General features: G+C 37.1%; 1 long non-coding RNA gene across 5 annotated transcripts in view; it reads left to right on the top strand.

Moving 5' to 3' along the window:
- The window catches only part of LOC105377557 (uncharacterized), an 88,225-nt gene extending 75,281 nt beyond the window's left edge, over nucleotides 1-12,944 (top strand). For 4 of the 5 annotated variants that reach the window (XR_007058380.1, XR_007058381.1, XR_007058379.1 and 1 more), the window contains exon 2: nucleotides 5,325-5,592. This is a non-coding gene — a long non-coding RNA (uncharacterized LOC105377557). Of the gene's footprint in view, nucleotides 1-5,324; nucleotides 5,593-12,348 lie in introns of those variants that run through there. The other variant, XR_001741925.2, reaches the window with a different exon arrangement.
- Nucleotides 12,945-20,009: the final 7,065 nt, after the last annotated feature.

Raw genomic sequence — 20,009 nt, 5'->3', positions numbered from 1 at the left:
AGAGTAATATTTTTCACTTTATGGCTGCCTTTGGGGAAAAAGGGTTCTGTTTTGTATGATCTACCCTGGGGAAGAGAAATTCTATTTTCTGTGTCTTGCCTCAGGGCAGAATGAGAGTGAGACAGGAGGGCAGAAGAAAGTCAAAGAGAAACTTTGCTTCTGAGGCCTTCACTTTGGGGTAGCATTTTCTGACTCCACCACCACCTACTTTCTGTGGTTACAATCTGCAGCTCACAGGTCTGAGTTGGGGCCAGAGTGGATGCACCATAGACTCAGACAGATAGCTTCTCATAATGACCACGTCCAGGTTCAGGGACCACCACTGTTACCTGACTCTTTGATTCTCACAGGGATTTTATCTTAGGAATTTGTTGCCCTTCACTTTCTTTATTGCTTCTTCACCACTGGGTCCTGGTTGGGCCTTCTCTGTCTATCCCAATTTGCATAAAAACTTTTGGGAAATGTTGAGTTTTGATCTCTTCCCTTCCAGAAGACCTTGGGATCCTATTTAAATCTGAATATCCCTTTTCCAGGCATCTTCAAGCTTACTTAATGTTTTCTTTGAAAAAATAAAGATGTCTTTTATCAAGTATACTGCTACAATTTTGTAGGTACCAAGTTGTTGAAAATCCCTCCACCGGAATCTGTATCTGCACCGTATCTGTGTCCCTAACCCATCCCTACCTGTATTTAATCTCTATGTCCATCATTTAAAATCTCCATCCCTCCCCTACGTCTCTTCATATCTCTGCAAATAACATAGTCGTTACTTTTTCCTTATTTTGCTCTGACTGCTTAATTTTATTGGCATTACTACATGAATAGGTAAATAAATTAGTGTGCCAGGAACTCAGTGGTGATTTGGTTTTGAATTCACACAGTGGCTGGAGAAGAAGAAATATGGTGAAGAGATGCAGGTATCATGAGGAAAGCCATCGGGCTTGATGAGCAGTGCTTTGAGATGTTGAGGAAAGGCAGAAATCAAAGATGACACAATGTTTAACCACCTGGTTGATTTAAAGAGTAGTAGTGGAATCAACATTATTGGGGGAGTCAAAAGATATGAGTTATTTTGTAGGGAAAAGCATACATCTAGTTATGGATTGATTTTGTGTGTGTGTGTGTGTGTGTGTGTGTGTGTGTTTTCAGATGGAGTCTCACTCTATTGCCCAGGCTGGAGTACAGTGGTGTGATCTCGGCTCACTACAACCTCCGTCTCCTGGGTTCAAGCAATTCTCCTGCCTCAGCCTCCCAAATAGCTGGGACCACACATGTGCACCACCACGCCCAGCTAATGTTTTTGTATTTTTAGTAGAGATGGAGTTTCACCATGTTGGCCACACTGGTCTTGAACTCCTGACGTCAAGTAATCCACCCACCTCAGCCTCCCAAAGTGCTGGGATTACAGGTGTGAGCCACCACGCCTGGCCTACATTGATTGAATTTGAAAATACATTTAGATATCAAAGTGGGAATGGCCATCACTCTAATAGACTTTTCAGAGCCAGAATCACTACAGTGAACCTTGATGTGATTATCATCGGGCAGTATCTGTGTCAATGTTCACATATGGTATAGTCAGTCCAAATTCTCACTTAAAAGTAAAAGAATTATGATCAGTAGAAGTAAAGTTCTGCCCTCTATTAAAGCTAATGGGCATCAAAAATTTCTTATTTATTTTACATGAAAAAAACATAAAGAATGTTCACTGAGCCTTGGTCTTTTGTGGTTCCATTTTTCAGGAGAGAATAGGAGGAAAAAGAAACTCGCTGAGGCTGTTCCAAACAGGAAACCGACTATGCTGTCTATTAATCTCCATTCTCCTTTGAGTGACTTTTCTTTCTTTATTTAAAGATTTATTTCCAGTCATATGCCTGTGTTTTCATAGCCATTAGGATAGGGAATTATAAGAAGAAATAGACACGGATAAGAAAGAAAGGCAAGGAGTTTTATGTGTGGATGAGTTTAATAAATATTAAGAGCAAAACAGATTTTTAAAAGGCATCCTTTACAAATGTGCATAACACTTTGTGATTCAATTATAAATAAAATACTCCTCTACCCTCTTTTTCTTGAGAGCCTCATGATAAAGCTTCAACAACCGTGTGTTTAGTACTCGAGAGACTTTTAGAAAAAGGTCTTTTTATACATACAACATAGTACAAAACAGAATCATTAGAGAAAAGTAAAGCAGTCAATATGACCTACAGCTTCCAATTTTCAACTTAATATTGAAAGTTGCTTTTCTTTCAGCAATTATTGATGTGGATGAACTAACTGACACCATTTTAAGTCATCTGTAGAATTCTTTTTCTAACCACTTAAGAGAAAACAAAAAAAAAGCTGTAGTTCAAAACTTATGAAACTTTAAAAGAACTCATCCGCATCAGCACTAAAATGTCAATGGTCAATGTCTATTTTCTGCAAATACAAAATTTAAATTTAGAATTCTTTTTGGTGACTAAACTGTGCATTAGAATTTATTTACACACTCTCATTTTGCAGACACAGACCAAAGGCCAAAGATGTTAAATGACTTGCCCGTAGCATTCAGCTAATTAGCATTGAATCGGAGATTCTTGAGTCCCAGGTATACAGATCTTTAAAACAGTTCAAATCAAAGCTGAAGAAAATATATTATTGTCAAATTAAAGCAGACCCTCAGTTTTTCATACATCACATTTTTTATAAAAGAGAAATGAAACAATAATGAGTTTAGTGTTTTTCCATGGACTTAAAAATATTTTCTTATTTAAAAATTACTTCCAGTTAGATCACCAAACTGAGATGAACTTTCAGTGTTTTTGAGGTTCACACAAGTTCATCATTTTGACCAGAAATCATGTGACTGCTATTTCGAACTTTGGCAGAAACTGCTAGAAAAAAGTCCCTCAATGGTCAGAAATGACCCTTCTCTATTCCCTCCACCAGAGCTTGAAATAGTGGGATGATTAGGGAATTAACACTTGGCTTAGTATTCTTATGACTTCTCCGGGCTGGCCCTCACCACTAGGTACTGCATATCTTAGAAGTCAGCCCTCTTAAGATTTTCTAGTCCAGTGGGTTAGGAATGTTCAGAGGGCTTGTGGTTAAGCACTTGTGTTAATTTCTTCCTTCTCCCACATTTTATAGACTGGAAAACCCCTCTGATTTTTCATTTTATGAATTTGGAAAAAAGTCAGATGTTTAAATTTAAAAAGATATTATCATTCAACACATTAATGGCATATTTTGCAAGTTTACCTATGAAGAAGACTAATGTTGATAACAGCAGTAGAACAAGACATAATTATTTTATATTAAATATAGCATTTATTAAAACTTTTGTGTGCTGTTTCTGTAGAGATGAGAACCAGACATTTATTTCCTTCAAATTTCTCATTAATGAATGTGCTTATATGTTAAAGCACAACACGTAGATTGCAATTCTAGGCTGCATTTTTGGAAACCTTCCATGCTCTTTTTGAAATTCCAGGGACTGGAAAATTAGGGCCATTTTAAAGTTTTTATATATATAAAACAAAGCCCAAAATAACAAAATTACAAAAGGCAAACTACAATCAGCTGAATGGCCACTAAATTGGCTAGGACTTATTCCTCTGCTTGTATTGATTGGTTGAGCATGGCACCCTCTAATATTAGACTGAGCTTAACTTGTGGAGAGGGCCTATTGCTCAGTTGGATGAAGTTGCTGTCACAGCACACCTGTGACATTAGAGTTGTCTGGCCAATTTAGCTGAAAGGGTTAGAGAGTGGTAACTGTGAACTCAAGGTTGTGATCATTTTCTGCTTTTCAAAGAGAAAAAAACTGTTTTATAATCACTAACGGGAGCTCTTTCTCTAGTCATGGATGCCTACTGCTCTTCATTAGGAGCAATGGAAAGTGGTAAAATGCAAACCTAGCATTTCTGCCACAGAATAAACTTAAAGCTCAGAGATCAAAGGTATATCATGTAGCCTAGTGGTCAGGTGTATTGGCTTGGAGCTTCATCAGCCTGAGTTAAAATCACAGCTCAGCTTCTTATTATCTGTATAACCTTGTGGAAGCTATTTGACTGTGTGAAGAGGTCAAAAAATATATTTAACTCGTCAGCTTTTCGGGAGATTTTATGTGCCTTGCAAGTAAGATTCAATAAAAATTAGCTACCTTTATTAATTATTTCATCGTTATATACACATGGATGGTTTTGTGTCTACTGTTCCAGTAAAATGGTCAACATTTATTCTTCTGTTGAGAGCATTCTTGAAGCACTTCAGCTGTCGACCCACACATACAATTTACATTATTCATTGTTTTGCTAAATCACTTTTTGAAGTGCTCTTCATTTATCTGTTCTCTCCACAGTACTTAATAGAAATGATTTTCATCATTGTAAATTCCCTTCACATAGATTGGCTATCAATGCTAAACAAGTGATGAACACCATTAAAACAAACAAACAAACAAACTAAAGACAAATCCCTTTTTATTTTGAAATAATTTTAGACTTACAGAAAAAGTGCAAATTGCTCAGAGTTCTCATATTTCCCTAATGTGAGCAACTGACATAGCCATTGTACAATGATCAAAAACCAAGGCATTAAGATTGATACCATAGTTTTGAGCAATAGATCTTATTAGGATTTTACCAGTATTTCCCCTAATGTTCTTTTTCTTCTCCTGAATTTAACCCAGCTTCCTCCATTGCACTTAGTTGTGATACCTCCTTAGTTTCCTCTAATCTGTGACGGTTTGTCATTGTGTCTTTGTCTTGTGACCTTGACGCTTTTAGTGAGAGACAGTGAGTTTGAGTTACTTTGTAAAATGCCTCTGATGTTTTCTCATGACTAGATTTTTGTTATGTATTTTTACCAAAAATAACACAGAAGTGACATTGGGTCCTTCTCAGGGGGTACATGACCTTGATGTCTTATTACTGGTAATACCAACTATAATCACATAAATAATCACATAAATAGGATAGTATGTGCTGGATTTATCCACTATAAAATTGCTATTTTATCTTCACAATTGATCACAATTTTGGGGAAGATTTATGAGACTATTGTAATACCCTGTTTCTCCTCAAATCTTTGCCTACCCTTTTTCAGCATTTGTCAGTGGCTCTTGTCTTCAACAATTATTACTGTCATATTCGCCCAATGGTGATTTAGTACTTCCCCCACTTCTACACTTATTAGTTAATTTTTTTTCTATGAGGAAGAGTTATCCCTTCTCCTCATTTATTTTTCACTCAATTATGTGTTTATATCAATATGGACTCATGGATATTTATTATATTCTAGAAGTACTAACTCAATAATGTCATCTATTTGTTTCTCAGGTTGTTCCTACTTTGGCCATTGGAGCTCTTTCCAGTTAGCTTCTCTTCCTTGGACAGCTTCCATACGTTTTTGAGCACTTCCTTATTTCTGACACCAGAAGATGACTCAGGCTTGACTTGTATTCTCCCCGTCCAACAATGGAATCTGCCATTTCTCCAAGGAGCCCTGATTCCTTTTATTTGAGCGTGGTACATAGAAGCTGAGCAACTTTTTCTCTCTTTCTAATAAATGCTAATTCAGGAAAAATAAAAAACTTATAAAACAAAACTTCTCCTCTCAAAATAAAAATAATTTTACGCAGTCCCATAAGAGAATACACATTTTAAAAATATGTACAGCCTATGCAATTGACTAGAATAGTGTTGGTGAGAACATTCACACTGGCTTTAATTAAAAATTAATGGTTAATATTTTTGCACTTTTATGAAGCAACAGAAATCTGATCTTTAGTACTGAGATAAAGTTTTTGTGTTTGATGCAGTTTGCCCACCCAAACTATCTGCGGGCTACAGTTTGCCCATTTCTATTCTAGATTGCTGTTGGGGTAGATTAGAATTGTTGAGCGAATTGACTAAATTGCTCCAGTCTTTTTGAAAGGCCCAGTTGTCCCTTTGAAATATTTATGGGTTTTTGAATAAAGGTAGAAATTAACCCTCCCACTCTTAAAACTTGAAACTTATATGTGTCTCATCTGAGTGGTTTCCTCAGGAAACAGACCCTCACGCAAGGGACTGAAACTCACCAGATCACCATATCCAGACCATGAGATCTAAGGTCTCTTACCCATCGTGATTGCTCCCTTACCCCTCCCTCATTCCTGTATTCCTGCATGTAGTGACATCCCTTCTCTGCTATGTAAGCCCCAAATTTTAGTGGGTCAAGGAAAAGGATTTGAGACTTATCTCCTGTTCTTCTTGACTGCAGCTCACAAATAAAGTCTTCTTTCCTGGCAATACTTCTTGTATCAGGCATTGGCATTCTGTATGGTGAGCAATGGGATCTAGACCAAACCCCTGGCATTTGGTAACAATTTAATTTCATGTCACTGGGTCATCATTATATAACTTGAGTAATAGGTGGCATCATCTACCTCCTTTTCCTCCTCTTTCTTCTTCCTCTTCCTCTTCCTCTTCTTCTTCTTCCTCTTCTTCTTCTTTCTTTCTTCTCCCTCTCCCTCTCCCTCTCCCCAGTCCCTCAGGATGTAAATCAAGCTCTTCACTTGGGAGAGTGGTCAGGATGATAGAGCCCATGGATTTTCTGCTGGATCTGCTTTTGCTCATTACTGCTTTTCCTCACACTTCCTATGATCAGAGGGAAAAGCCATTACCTTCCTCTATCTGTCTTGGATATTACCTTGTTTGCCTCAGCTGCACAAAGATTAAATATTTGTTTTAAGAGTCTTGTTAATTTTCCGAAGTCAAAAAGCATTTTAAGTTTGCAAGGGAAAAAGAGGGAGTAGGGTATTAACAACAACAAAAAACCCATCAAACTCTAAAATATTTTAAAAAGGTTTATTCTGAGCCAATATGAGTGACCATGCCCAGGGAAAATGGTCTCAAGAGGTCCTGAGAAAGTGTGCCTTAGGCAGTTGGATTCCAGTTTGGTTCTATGAATTTTAAAGGGACAAGAGTTATTACAGGCAAAGACATAAATCAACACATGGGAAGTATATGTTGGTTTGGCCTGAGCAGGCAAGATATCTTGAAATGAGGGGCTTACAGGTGATAAGTGGATTCAGAGATTCTCTTATTTGCAACTGGTTAAAGAAGTAAACCTCTGTTTAAAACTTGTAATCAGCAGAAAGGAAGGTTTTTTTTGAGAGGGAGTCTCACTCTGTCACCCAGGCTTGAGTGCAGTGGCACGATCTCAGCTCACTGCAACCTCCGCCTCCTGGGTTCAAGCAATTCTCCTGCCTCAGCCTCCCGAGTAGCTGGGATTACAGGTGCGTGCCACCACACCTAGCTAATTTTTTATATTTTTGGTAGACACAGGGTTTCACCATGTTGGCCAGGATGGTCTCGATCTCTTGACCTCATGATCCACCTGCCTTGGCCTCCCAAAGTGCTGGGATTACAGGCATGAGCCACTGCTCCTGGCCGGAAGGTTTTAATTTAAGGTTAGGATGTCATGTAGTAAGATTAATGACCTACAGGCATGACTTAACCCTTGGCCTTGCATGGACTCAGGGTCTTGTTTATAAGCTGGTATCTTAGTGTCACAAAGAGTCTGTTTTGTCAGCCTTATGATCTCTATTTTAACACTAATGCTACTCAGTTTTGTCTAAACGCTAGCAGGGATGGCATGTAACAAGGCGTGTTCAATCTTCCTGTGATGGCTAAGAACTCAGTTTTTCAGATTTCTCTTGGGTCTCCTTGGCCAAGAGGGGGTCTGTTCGGTGAATTGGGGGGCTTGGGATTTTATTTTTAGTTTAAAGAGGGTGTCAGAAAATCAGGTGACATGCCCTTTTTTAGTTGTCTTGTTCCTAAAGCCTCTAAGTCTCTTAAGGCTGGGGTGGGAGGCAGAGGTATACAGATGCTCTGTCCTCTCTAGACAAGTTAGCATAGCTATCTTCCTAGGATCTTTGCTTCTCCAGTGCTCCTGTGAAAGAATTCTTATTTCATTGTCCCCTCAGATCCATCTGCAGTTTCCAGATCTTCATAACTTCAGGCATGGAGTATACAGGTTTTTTACTACTCTGAGTTGGATTTTTACTCTGCCAGGAGGCACAAAAAAATCTTTCTCAGTGTCTGTTAATTCCTTTGTCAAGGAGTTGTCTCATCACATAGATGGAGAGGTTGAATGATAAAAAATGGCTGAGGTCCCCATTCTAGGCAACTGCTAGTTCTTACTTTTCTCTGCTCTAAATTACATCACAAAGCATCCCACATTGACTTGATAATAAACTGACAATTACAAGCAGCCCACAAAAACAAGTTTCTGCTAATGCGTGAAGATAAGGGTAATAAAGCTTGGTGAGTAGCTTCCATTTTCAAACCTGTTCATGTCCCCTTAAAACTCTCAGACAGGAACTACTATCACAGAACACAGGAAATGTTGATTTGGGACTGATATTTCCATTTTTTTGATTCCTCATTCTTATCAGTACAACATTTTTGAACAAGTATAGGAAAAAAGGGATTTTTCACTTCCTCTCTGAAGGTTTGAGTTTGCTGAAATAAACTGACAATAGATTAACAGAAAAAGCATACAGATTTGTAAATGTGCAAGTGTGTATGGGAGCCATGTGAAATATGCGACTCAAAGAAGGGCTAAATGGGTAGAATTTAAATAGCACCCTCTTCATAGAGCAGAGGGAGATGGGGTAATGGAGGCAATTTGGAGAGGTAGTAAATAATCTTTAGGAGAGTTGATTGAGCCCAAAGAACAGACAATAGTTTGTAAATGGTTCTCTTTGGAAATGGAATGGGACAGGTGTGGTAACATTCCTTAGTCTTCCCTCCTACCACGTGAGTTTAATGCTCTGGTTAATGAAATCTCAGGAAGGGGATTCAAGGCAATTATGTTCCTTCTGAAAGAGCTACAGATAAGGGAACTTCAGAGACAGTGTTCCATCCTGCACTTAGGGGGAGAAATAAAGGTTAGACAGTCATTGGTTCTGAGGCTGCTTCTAAGGCCTTTTAATTTTTTTTAGTTCAAAGTGCTCAGCACACCAAAGCACCATACTTTGGGGTATCGTTTTCTAAGCCTCAACATAGGCATTCACATATATGGATAGTTATTTATAACACATTAACTACATGTAGTCATAATATATTATATATATATTCGAACTTTCACATAAAGTTTGAACATATATGTAACTTCAGAAAGATGAGATAAATATAAAATAATTTTATTTTTTATTAACAATGCAAAAACACCATTGCTTTCACTAGCATAATGTACTAACATTTTTAGTGAGTGCAACATGATTGAATATATTTCATTATTTTGAAAATTTGAATCTATTTTTTAATTTAATTTTTTTCAATATTTGCTTTTAGTGTCTGTCTTATTTAATATAATAATATTGGAAAATACAGATATTTAAATAAAATGATTTATGAAAAATTATTCTTGGCCAAGTGTGGTGGCTCATACCTGTAATCCAAGCACTTCGGGAGGCCGAAGTGGAAGGATCATTTGAGGCCTAGAGTTTGATACCAGCCTGGGCAATACAGTGAGACCCCATCTCCATAAAAAATAATTTAACAAAATTAGCTGGGTGCAGTGGTATGCATCTGTAATCCCAACTACTTGGGAGGCTGAGACAAGAAGATTGCTTGAGCCCACGAGTTTGAGGTTGCAGAGAGCCAAGGTTGCGCCACTCCTGGGTGACTGAGTGAGACCCTATCTCTAAAAGAAAAGGAAAGAAAAATGGTGCCTGATCTTCAATCTCAATTGTGATTATGTACATTTTTCAATGAAATTGAGTTAATTAATTTATCTTTCTCTGAAATCAGTCAATGTTTTTGAAAAGTAATCAGAAGTTGTTGGTTTTAACATTTTTAAGCTTAGGTTCAAAGCCACCTTTCACTGAAGAATAGCATTTAGGAAACACAACTTGGGTGCTAGGTGTTGAGAGATCTTGGAGAGGTTTTTCAGAGGAGAAGAAATTCTGTTTCCAAGTTTCAAACATGAATATAAGAGTTTGAAAGTAGTGATATATTATTTTCAGCAGAAAAAGAACACTTAATGATGAAAGCATTTAAAAAAATAAATAAACTGTCGGGCTGGGTGTGGTGGCTCATGCCTGTAATCCCAGCACTTTCGGAGGCCGAGGTGGGAGAATCACTTGAGCCCAGGAATTTAAGATAATGCTTGGTGAGTAGCTTCTGTTTTTAAACCTCTCAAGTCCATGTCCCCTTAAAATTCTCAGACAGGAACTACTATCACAGAGCACAGGACATGTTGATTTGGGACTGATATTTCAATTTTTTCCCCCTGGGAAACATAGGGAGACTCCATCTCCACAAAAATTTAAAAATTAGCTGGCATGGTGGCGCACACCTGTGATCCCAGCTACTTGGGTGGCTGAGGTAGGAGGACTGATTGAGCCCAGGAGATCAAGGCCTCAGTGAGCCAAGATCATACCACTGTACTCCATCCTGGCGACAGAGTGAGATCCTATCTCAAAAAATAAAAAATAAATAAATAAATAGAAAAATAAAATACTATTGTAAAATAATCAATTACACTGTCACTTGTTGAAATGTCACTTTTTCTTTAAAAAGGTTGATTAAATGTAATTTATATTTTTCAAAAGGCTCTGCTTAATATCCTACAATTGATGATTATTTATTACTACCAAAATTGTTGCCAATTTGGAACATTATCTTCTGTAAAAGTAAAACATGCTACTTATTTTAAACTCTTTGAATGTTATGAATTCAATAAATACACACTAGAATGAATGATTCAATTAGTGAGTAATGGAGATAACTGTTGAGGTTTTGTGTGGTGCAAAATAGTTTCATGGTTCCTCTCCATTATATTACAAAGTTTTGTGATTCATCAATACAGTAGAGGTCTTAAAAAAAAAAAAGCTAACCACATGATGACATCTTGAAAACATCAGGTTTAGCCGGGCATGGTGGCTCACCCTGTAATCCCAGCACTGTGGGAGGCCGAGGTGGGCGGATCTGAGGTCAGGAGGTCGAGACCATCCTGGCCAATGTGGCAAAACCCTGTCTCTACCAAAAGTACAAAAATTAGCCAGGTGTGGTGGTGGGCGCCTGTAATCCCAGCTACTTGGGAGGCTGATGCAGGAGAATTGCTTGAACCCGGGAGGCAGAGGCTGCAGTGAGCCAAGATCATGCCACTGCACTCCAGCCTGGGGGACAGAACGCAACTCTGTCTCAAGAAAAAAAAAAAGCTAACCACATTATGACATCTTGAAAATGTGAGGTTTAAAATAGTTTACTGTAATTATTTTCTTTTGAATTGGGTACTGAATAAATTTTACCTGTAGTGCTTTTTCTGTATGCTTACTTTGGAATCCTGTTAAAATTCCAGGTAAAAAGTCACCGCATTATTGATTACACTTACATAGTTTTCCTCCTAAAACATTTTACTAAAGAAGTAATTACCATTGAGCTATATCTTTTCTTATAGTTTTCTTTATGATTCACAAAAACTATTTATGCATTTCAAGATTAATATACAATATGCGTTAGTCAAGAATATTATAAACATTAACATTTTGATTCAATTTCCACGCTACAAAAAATATTGTAAAATTTATTTCTGCAAAATTCCTTACATACTTTCTATATGCCTTCCAACAATGTTGAAATGCATTTTAGTTTACCACTGCATTATATTTGTGAATTATTCCAGCTCTTTTACTATAGTAGGAAGAACATGTCCTCTCAAACCTGACAATTATGTAATAAGATGGAGAGTGACCAGAACAGTGAAAACTAGATCTCAGTGCCAGTGCTAACTGATCAAATAGTGGCAGCTGGAATTTCTTTGCTAAGGACACATGCAGGATTAGTTGAATGGTGCTCTGCAAGCATGGTTTAATGCCATGATGTTTAATTAAAAATTATGTCAGTGATTAGTATTTTAATAAATAACAGTAGCTGAAATATTAATTTTGGGGGGTTTGTGGTGAGAATGATAAGTAAGGATAATGACTCAATTTTATCATAAAACAAACCATTTGACCGTATTCTGGTTGTAATCTAGTTCCTATTTTTCATTTTATTGTTCATATCAACAACAGAATGACTCTTTTGCGGCATCTACAGCTCTATTTATTTTTTGGGTGTAAGAAATAATGGTGGAAATAGTCACCATGTGTCAGGAGCAAGTTTGGGGAACAGCATACTCTCCAAATTTACCATACAGCTATGCGACATAACAAAATATTAAACCCCAAATCCTTTGTTGTCTCATTATTTTTCTTTCTTTGTATATCCCAGAGGTGTTCAAGTTCAAATGGACTGACTTTCACAACAGACCCATGAGAAACATGTCTGACAAATATATGCTTCTTTTTACCCATTCATTCAATAGGTATTAAAGGGAGCCTAGTCTGTGTCAGCTACCATCTGGCAGTATGTACCATAGTAGTGAGCAAAATCAGTATGATCTCATGGAACTTATCATCAAAGGAAAGGTAAGGCAAATGACCACTAGGAAAGCACACATGAAAGAAATGAAAATTGTGATATGTGTTATAAAGAAAACATAAAGAAAGCATAAAATGCCACATAAATGATCACCGTTTTAGCACTAGTGCCTTATATTTCATGAATATATTGCTTGTTCTTCGTCAAATGAGTGACAAAGTTCTCTCTTAAAGTTGTTAATGCTATCCAACTTACATAACTGTAGGAAAGAGGTTCCAGAAGAGTGTTCTAGTAAATTTCTAACAAACATGGTCTGGAAAAAGCATAAAATTTAACTTTGAAATCATATTTATGATTGTATTGCAAGATCTGCATTGTCGTTGATTTTTATCTTTACCCTCTTTATATGGCTGGGACAGTAATTCTCAAGAGGTATTTCCTATTGTCAAGTTATATTTTGCTTAAATGACATAAAAATGTATATAAATTTTTAAATGCATATATAATGCATATGGAGTAATGAAAATACTGAGAAGTAAATCCATAGGGCTAATGTTTCTCTTGGGGTAGAATTCATCATCATTAAATTGTACCTTGATAATTCTTTGCCTCCTGGGAATAATGAAGTACAATTAGTTTTCATTTGTTATTTTTTTAAAAAATAAAATAACTTACTCAAATTCAATTCCGTCCTTCATGTACAGCTAACTCAGTGTAAATTAGCTATTGAAGGTTTTAGAAAACCTTGATTCATTGTAGTCAATGAAGTCTCCTATTGATGCCATGTTTGAATGGGAAATTTATGTCATCTACCTTAGTTGAAATAAAGAATGAAAGAAATCATTATACTTTTGTATACACGGTGCCTCTTCCACCTTTTACTTATTTTTGGGTTTTAGCTATGATAGAATACCTTGGAAATGATGGAATAAGTGGAGTGGTATAAATATAGTGGAAAATGAACTTGTCAAACTTCAAAAGGATATAGATTACTACAGATAGAAGAATATAGATTACTATAGACAATACTATTATAACTGGGAAACATAAATTAGACCTTCTCAACTGGCACTTTAGATCAATAAACCATTTTAAAAGCTTTCAAAGCTTTAACTCTTGGAAGCTTTTAAAATGCTGTGAATCTGAAAATGTATGTTTTACAATGACCTGAGAGCATCAGTGCAGATTTAGAAGAATGATTCTTAAAGATAGATGATGTCTTAAAATTGTGTGACAATGCTATATAAGCACATTGTCATGTGCTTTTTAAAGCCATTGATATAAAATACTGGTCTGTCTTGGTAGGTTGTTTCAAATAACGAAACACAATAGGCAAGAGAAATTTTGCACTGAACCTAAGAATTTGTCAGATTCTGAGATGGGTTAGAATAACTAATTTGTTATCAGAAATGCAGGTAAAAAATTAAGTCCTTGATATCTTTTTAACATGGACAAAAGAGAAGCTACAAAATGATTTTTAATTGGCATTTACAGTCAGACAGCTGGATATATGAAATCTTATTTGAGGGCCTGAGACTTTACATTCTCAGTGTGATTGGTTGCACTGGAAGTTGAACAAACTGAGGTTTTTACTGTACCCCAAATTTCAAGACTATTTAAACAGAAGTAGTCCAAATGTCACATATTTTCAATAAATTTGAACAAAAATTCCTGGTAGATATTAAATCATGCTTTCAAGAGGGATTTGAGGCGTTGGGACTATGCATGATATGAAGCAGCCTCAAATTTTACACAGTGTGATTGAGACTGATGGAAGCTACAAACTCGCCTTCTCTTCCATTTGCTTAAAACCTCATTGCCCAATAGTTTTGTCCCAAAGCTCCAAACTTGGTCCTCTCATTGCCAGGATTTCCTGATGCACGGTTTCTGTCTCAGCTGTCCACTGGCTCTCAGTGGATTTTGTGCACCTATATAACACATTTTTGGGGACTGATAAAAGTTTATGATATTTTCCCTGTATTACCTCCCTTATTTACTCCTGTGAGCTGGAGTTCTTTTCTCTCTTCATGCATGGCTCTTTGAGAACCTTGGGTTGATCTCTGTCTCTGAGCATCTCCCCTCAGATCCCCCTTGCCTTGCAATCCACCTGGAGAGTCCTCCTCTGTTCTAACCATTTTCCTGCACCTTCAGATGGAATTTAAAGATTACTTTATCATCTTATCTGCTCTCTTGCATTTTAAATTAAGTATTGATCTTGGAATTTTCTCATATTATTAATGACTTTGCAAATTTCTGACAGTTAGGTCATAGGCAAATGATGGATTCTGAAACTTCCCATTGTTGTTGCTTGACAGTTACATTACCAGATGTTTTTTCTACTTACTCTGTTTCTATTCACCTACATGAAGGAAAAGTTTGAAGGCAAGGCTGAGCTAATAATTGTTGAAAGACAGCCAGTTTTTTCCCAAATGGTAGTGAATTTGGGAATTTACCAACATCCCTTTTTTCTGACCCTCAGTCACATGAGTTGTTAGCACATAAGGTTGAATCTAGTTTTCAAAAGTAGATTCACATCAACGAAACTCCTGACACTGATGTCAGAAAGCCAGAAGTCAGATGCATTAACTTGAGAAGCAGAGTCATTCTGGTGAATGGGAATTTTCATGTTGGCATGACTGACTTACTCTTTTTCAAAGGACTGAAACCAAATCATGATTTAAAATTTTCCTGGGGATAAGCAAGAGATAGAGTTGTATGATGAAGTTTTAGATGGATGAGGCTAAGACAGCTCCATTCACCTATCCCCAGAGAGACTCCTTTGACTATGTAGGTTGACTATGATGTTTGTGTCAGTCAGTGTTCTCATGTAAGCAGAAAAATAACTAATTGAAAGGCTGTTAGCTGACTCATGGGATCATGAGAAGTTTGGGGGAGCCAGGAGCAGAAAGTGAAGAGGAATAACGCGAGGCTGTGTCAGAGCTGTGCTAGGGAACGTGGTGAACAGAATATTGCTTCCTGTAGCGAAAGTTGGCCTGGGTCTCTAGAGCTACCAGTGCACTGCCCACAGTGTGGTAACTAAAAACTAGATGGGATGTAGCAGCTATGTAGCCTCTGCTTCTCAGCATCCTTAACTCTGAATTCCAGGTCTGATGAGTATCAAATTGGCTTGGCCTTCTACGAAGACACATATTATGTAGCTATCCAATCATGGAAAAAGATAAATATTAAGTAGCCAAAAAAAAAATGTGTCAAATGGGTTGTGCTGCTACTATTGATGGCACATGTGAATGAGTTCAGATCTTGCTGCCGCCACCCTGATGAAGTGCTTTTCCCAGCATTCTCCATTAGACTGTTGTGGCAAGAAGACTGGAAACACCTCAGTTCCTAGATCTCATAAACAACTTCAGCACAGTCTCAGGATACAAAATCAATGTATAAAAATTAGTAGTATTTCTATATACCAACAGCATCCAAATTGAGACCCAATCCAGAATGCAATCCCATTTACAATAGCCACGAAAAGAATAAAATACCGAGGAATACAGCTAACCACGAAGGTGAAAGATCTCTACAAGGAGAATTACAAAACGCTTCTGAAAGAAATCAGAGACAACACCAACAAATGGAATAACATTCCATGCTTATGGATAGGAAGAATCAATATTGTTAAAATACTACCTAAAACAATGTACAGATTTAATGCTTTTCCTATCAAACTAACCAGAAAATTTATCACAGAATTAGAAAAAGCTATTTTAAAATTCATATGTAATCAAAAGAGAGCCCAAATAGCCAAAGCAATCCTAAGCAAAAAGAACAAAGCCAGAGGCATCACAGTACCTGATTTCAAACTATACCACAAGTCTACAGTAACCAAAACAGCATGGTACTTGTAATAAAACAGACACATTAGACCAATGGAACAGAATAGAGAGCCCATAAATAAAGCCACACACCTACAATCATCTCATCATTGATAAAGTTCACAATAACAAGCAATGGGGAAAAGATTCACTCAATAAATCGAGCTGGGATAATTGGCTAGCCTTATGTAGAAGATTGAAACTGGTCTTCTTCCTTTCACCATATACAAAAAGCAACTCAAGATAGATTAAAGACTTAAATGTAAAACCTGAAACTATAAAAACTCTAGGAGAAAACCTAAGAAATACCATTTTGGACATAAGTTCTGACAAATATTTCATAATGAAGAACCAAAAGGCAATTATAACAAAAACAATTGACAAATGGGACCTAATTAAAGAATTTCTGCACAGCAAAAGAAACTATCAACACGGTAAACATAAACAGATAACCTACAGAATGGGAAAAATTTTTTGAAAATCATGCATCTGACAAAGATCTAATATCCAGAATCTATAAGGAACTTAAACAAATCAACAAGCAAAAAACAACCCTATTAAAAATGGGCAAAAGACACAAACAGACACTTCTCAAAAGAAGACATACATGCTGCCAATAAGCATCTAAAAAATGTTCAACATTACTAATCATTAGAGAAATGCAAATCCAAATCACAATGGGATATCATCTCACATCAGTCAGAAGGGCCGTTATTAAAAAGTCAAAAAATAACAGATGCTGGCAAGGTTGCAGAGAAAAGGGAATGCTTACACACTGCTAGGGGAATGTAAACTCATTCAGCCACTGTGGAAAACAGTTTGGAGATTTCTCAAAGAACTTAAAACAGAATTATCATTTGACCCAACAATCCTATTATTGGGTATATACCCAAAAGACTAGAAATCATTCTACCATAAAGATATATGCATGTGTGTGTTATTGCAGCACTATTCACGGTAGCAGAGACATGGAATTAACTGAAATGCCCATCAACAGTGGACTGGATAAAGAAAATATGGTATATACACACCATGGAATATTACACAGCCATGAAAAGGAATGTGGTCATGTCTTTTGTAGTAACATGGATGCAGCTGGAGGCCATTATTCTAAGCAAACTAATGCAGGGACTGAAAATCAAATACCACATGTTGTCATGCAGTAGACTAAGGCCTACTTCAGGGTGGAGGGTGGTAGGAGAATGAGTATAGAAAAACTACGTATCGGGTACTATGATTATTACCTGGGTGATGAAATAATCTGCACACCAAATCTTCAAGACACACAATTTACCAATGTAACAAACCTGCACATATACCCCTGAACTTAAAATAAAGGTTTGAAGAAAAAAAAGTGACAAATGTTCATTAGAACTCTTTATTGTCAAAAGAGTTCTACCAGACACTGGCAGGTCAGGAACTGGTGACATTTGCTTTTGTGATCCCAGTAGTATAGACATCAAAGTCAGACAGGCCTATAGTCGGGCTCCAAATCTATCTCTGTCTCACAGTGTCAGAAAAATAAAGAAAAGTGCTTAGTACACTGCTTGGCATAGAGCAATAGGGCAAGTGCCCGATCGGTAGAAGTTATTACTGTACTCTTTGGGTCTGCCCAACACTGCGGCTCATTCCCACACCCTCTCTTTGCATTGGTTCAGTCCTAGACGTCAAATAGATGATTGTGAGTGTTCTGCTGTCAGTCTTTATGTGGTGGTTCATACTTTATCTGTAAGGGACAATGCGGTTTTCCTCATTTCTGAATCCTAGAAAAAGCTCAAGTTAGTGCTCACTAACAACATTTATAAGAGTTGTTATATAAAGCATAAATGAAATTACATTTGAGAAAACGCCTGGTATATTTTATAGCACACATTAGGAATTCAATAGGTGTATACCTTTCTTCTCCTTTTTTGTTTGAACTTTCTTTTCAGCTTTTGTAACCGATTGTTATAAAATGTTAATTAATTTGTAATTTTGTTTGGTATCACAAATACTATGCTTAGTCACTTATACTTGGTCAAATTCTATGACCCAGGCACTGTGATGGGGATGCAGGCAGAGCAACAAATGAGAGGCTTACACTATTATACCAACGCAGGCTTTTAGTTGTAATGATGTTTACCAACCAACTTTAGAGTAAAAAGCTGATTTTCTCCCTCATTCTTAAATGTAAGCAGCTCTTTCCTAACAGGGTATTATAGCAAAACATCTGCAATTTCAAAAATAAAGCAAATACAATTTATTAAGCATCTATTCTATGCTAAAACCATTATAGGAGCTTTCATATAAATTATCTAATTTGATTCTCAAAACAGCTCTGTAAGATCAGCGTTATGTATTGCGGCCTCTGTAATTTTTTTAAAAAAGAGGATAATTTTATTTCATTTTAAGCCTAGTTAAAGCAAAAGACCATTGTCTAGTTCATTGTATGTGTGTATTTTTTTTAAACTAACATATAAGTTTATCTAAGCATGGCACCTAAAACTCTAAGGTTTACCAAAGAGGAAAAGGAGAGCTCATACCCCATCTGTATTTAAACTGAAAGAAGTGTCACATTTGTCATTTTTCAGTGTGGCATCTATTGATCCTCAGGCAGGCAATATGACACAGCAGTTGTGAACATACACATTGAAGCCAGACTGCCCGGGTTCAAATACTAGTTCCATTATTTTTTATTTTTATTTTTTTGAGACAGAGTTTTGCTCTTGTTGCCCAGGCTGGAGTGCAGAGGTGCCATCTCAGCTCACTGCAACCTCTGAATTCTGGTTTCAAGGAATTCTCCTGCATCAGCCTCCAGAGTAGCTGGGATTACAGGTGCCTGCCACCACGCCCAGCTAATTTTTGTATTTTTAGTAGAGACGGGGTTTCACCATGTTGGCCAGGCTGGTCTCAAACTCCTGACCTCGTGATCTGCTCGCTTCAGCTTCCCAAAGTGCTGGGATTACAGGCGTGAGCCACTGTGCCCGGCCTAGTTCCATTATTTATTAGCTGTGTGACCTTGGTAAAGTCACTTCACCTTTCTGTACCTTAGTTTCCTCATCATTAAAATGGGGGAGAACAATAATAACTATCTGATAAGATGGGTGGATTAAATGTTTTTAATCAATTAATTTAATTAAAAGCACAGATTAAATGAATAGAGACCAAACGGAACCTTGACAAAGCTCAGCCATTAAGCTAGGAGATGAAAAACAGGCTTACAAATAGACCTGCGCTAAACCAGAAGTCTCTTGTCTTGACTTGTTTCTTAGTTTTGTTTAGATTGTTCATCTCCTCAGGCTGTTAAGATCTCATGTGTCCTGAAAGTGCCCTCCACTTGGGGAATATGTCCTTCTTCTCCAAACTAGGACAATGAAAGACCTGGATGAAGAAGGCTACCCTTGTGATAGTTTTAAGAGATGGGGGAAAAATTAAAAATTAAAAAATTTAATGGCAGGTGTGGTGGTTCACACCTGTAATCCCAGCACTTTGGGAGGCTTAGGCAGGAGGATTTCTTGAGCCCAGGAATTCAAGATCAGCCTGCACAACATAGGAAACCCTGTCTCTATGAAAAATAAAAAAAATTAGCCAGGCATGGTGGCACACACCTGTAGTCCCAGCTACTCGGGAGGCTGAGGTGGGAGGATCACTTCAGTCCGGGAGATTGAGGCTGCAGTGAGCTATGATTGTACCACTGCACTCCAGCCTGGGTGACAGAGTGACACCCTTTTTTTTTTTTAATTAAAAAAAAAAAAGAAAGCTACCTATATTCTGCTAAGGAGAACATTCTGGTGTTTTTACT

This window comes from Homo sapiens, chromosome 4, assembly GCF_000001405.40.
Source record: "Homo sapiens chromosome 4, GRCh38.p14 Primary Assembly".
In the NCBI taxonomy this organism is placed as follows: domain Eukaryota; kingdom Metazoa; phylum Chordata; class Mammalia; order Primates; family Hominidae; genus Homo; species Homo sapiens.
This window is presented reverse-complemented; position numbering and strand designations above follow the sequence as displayed.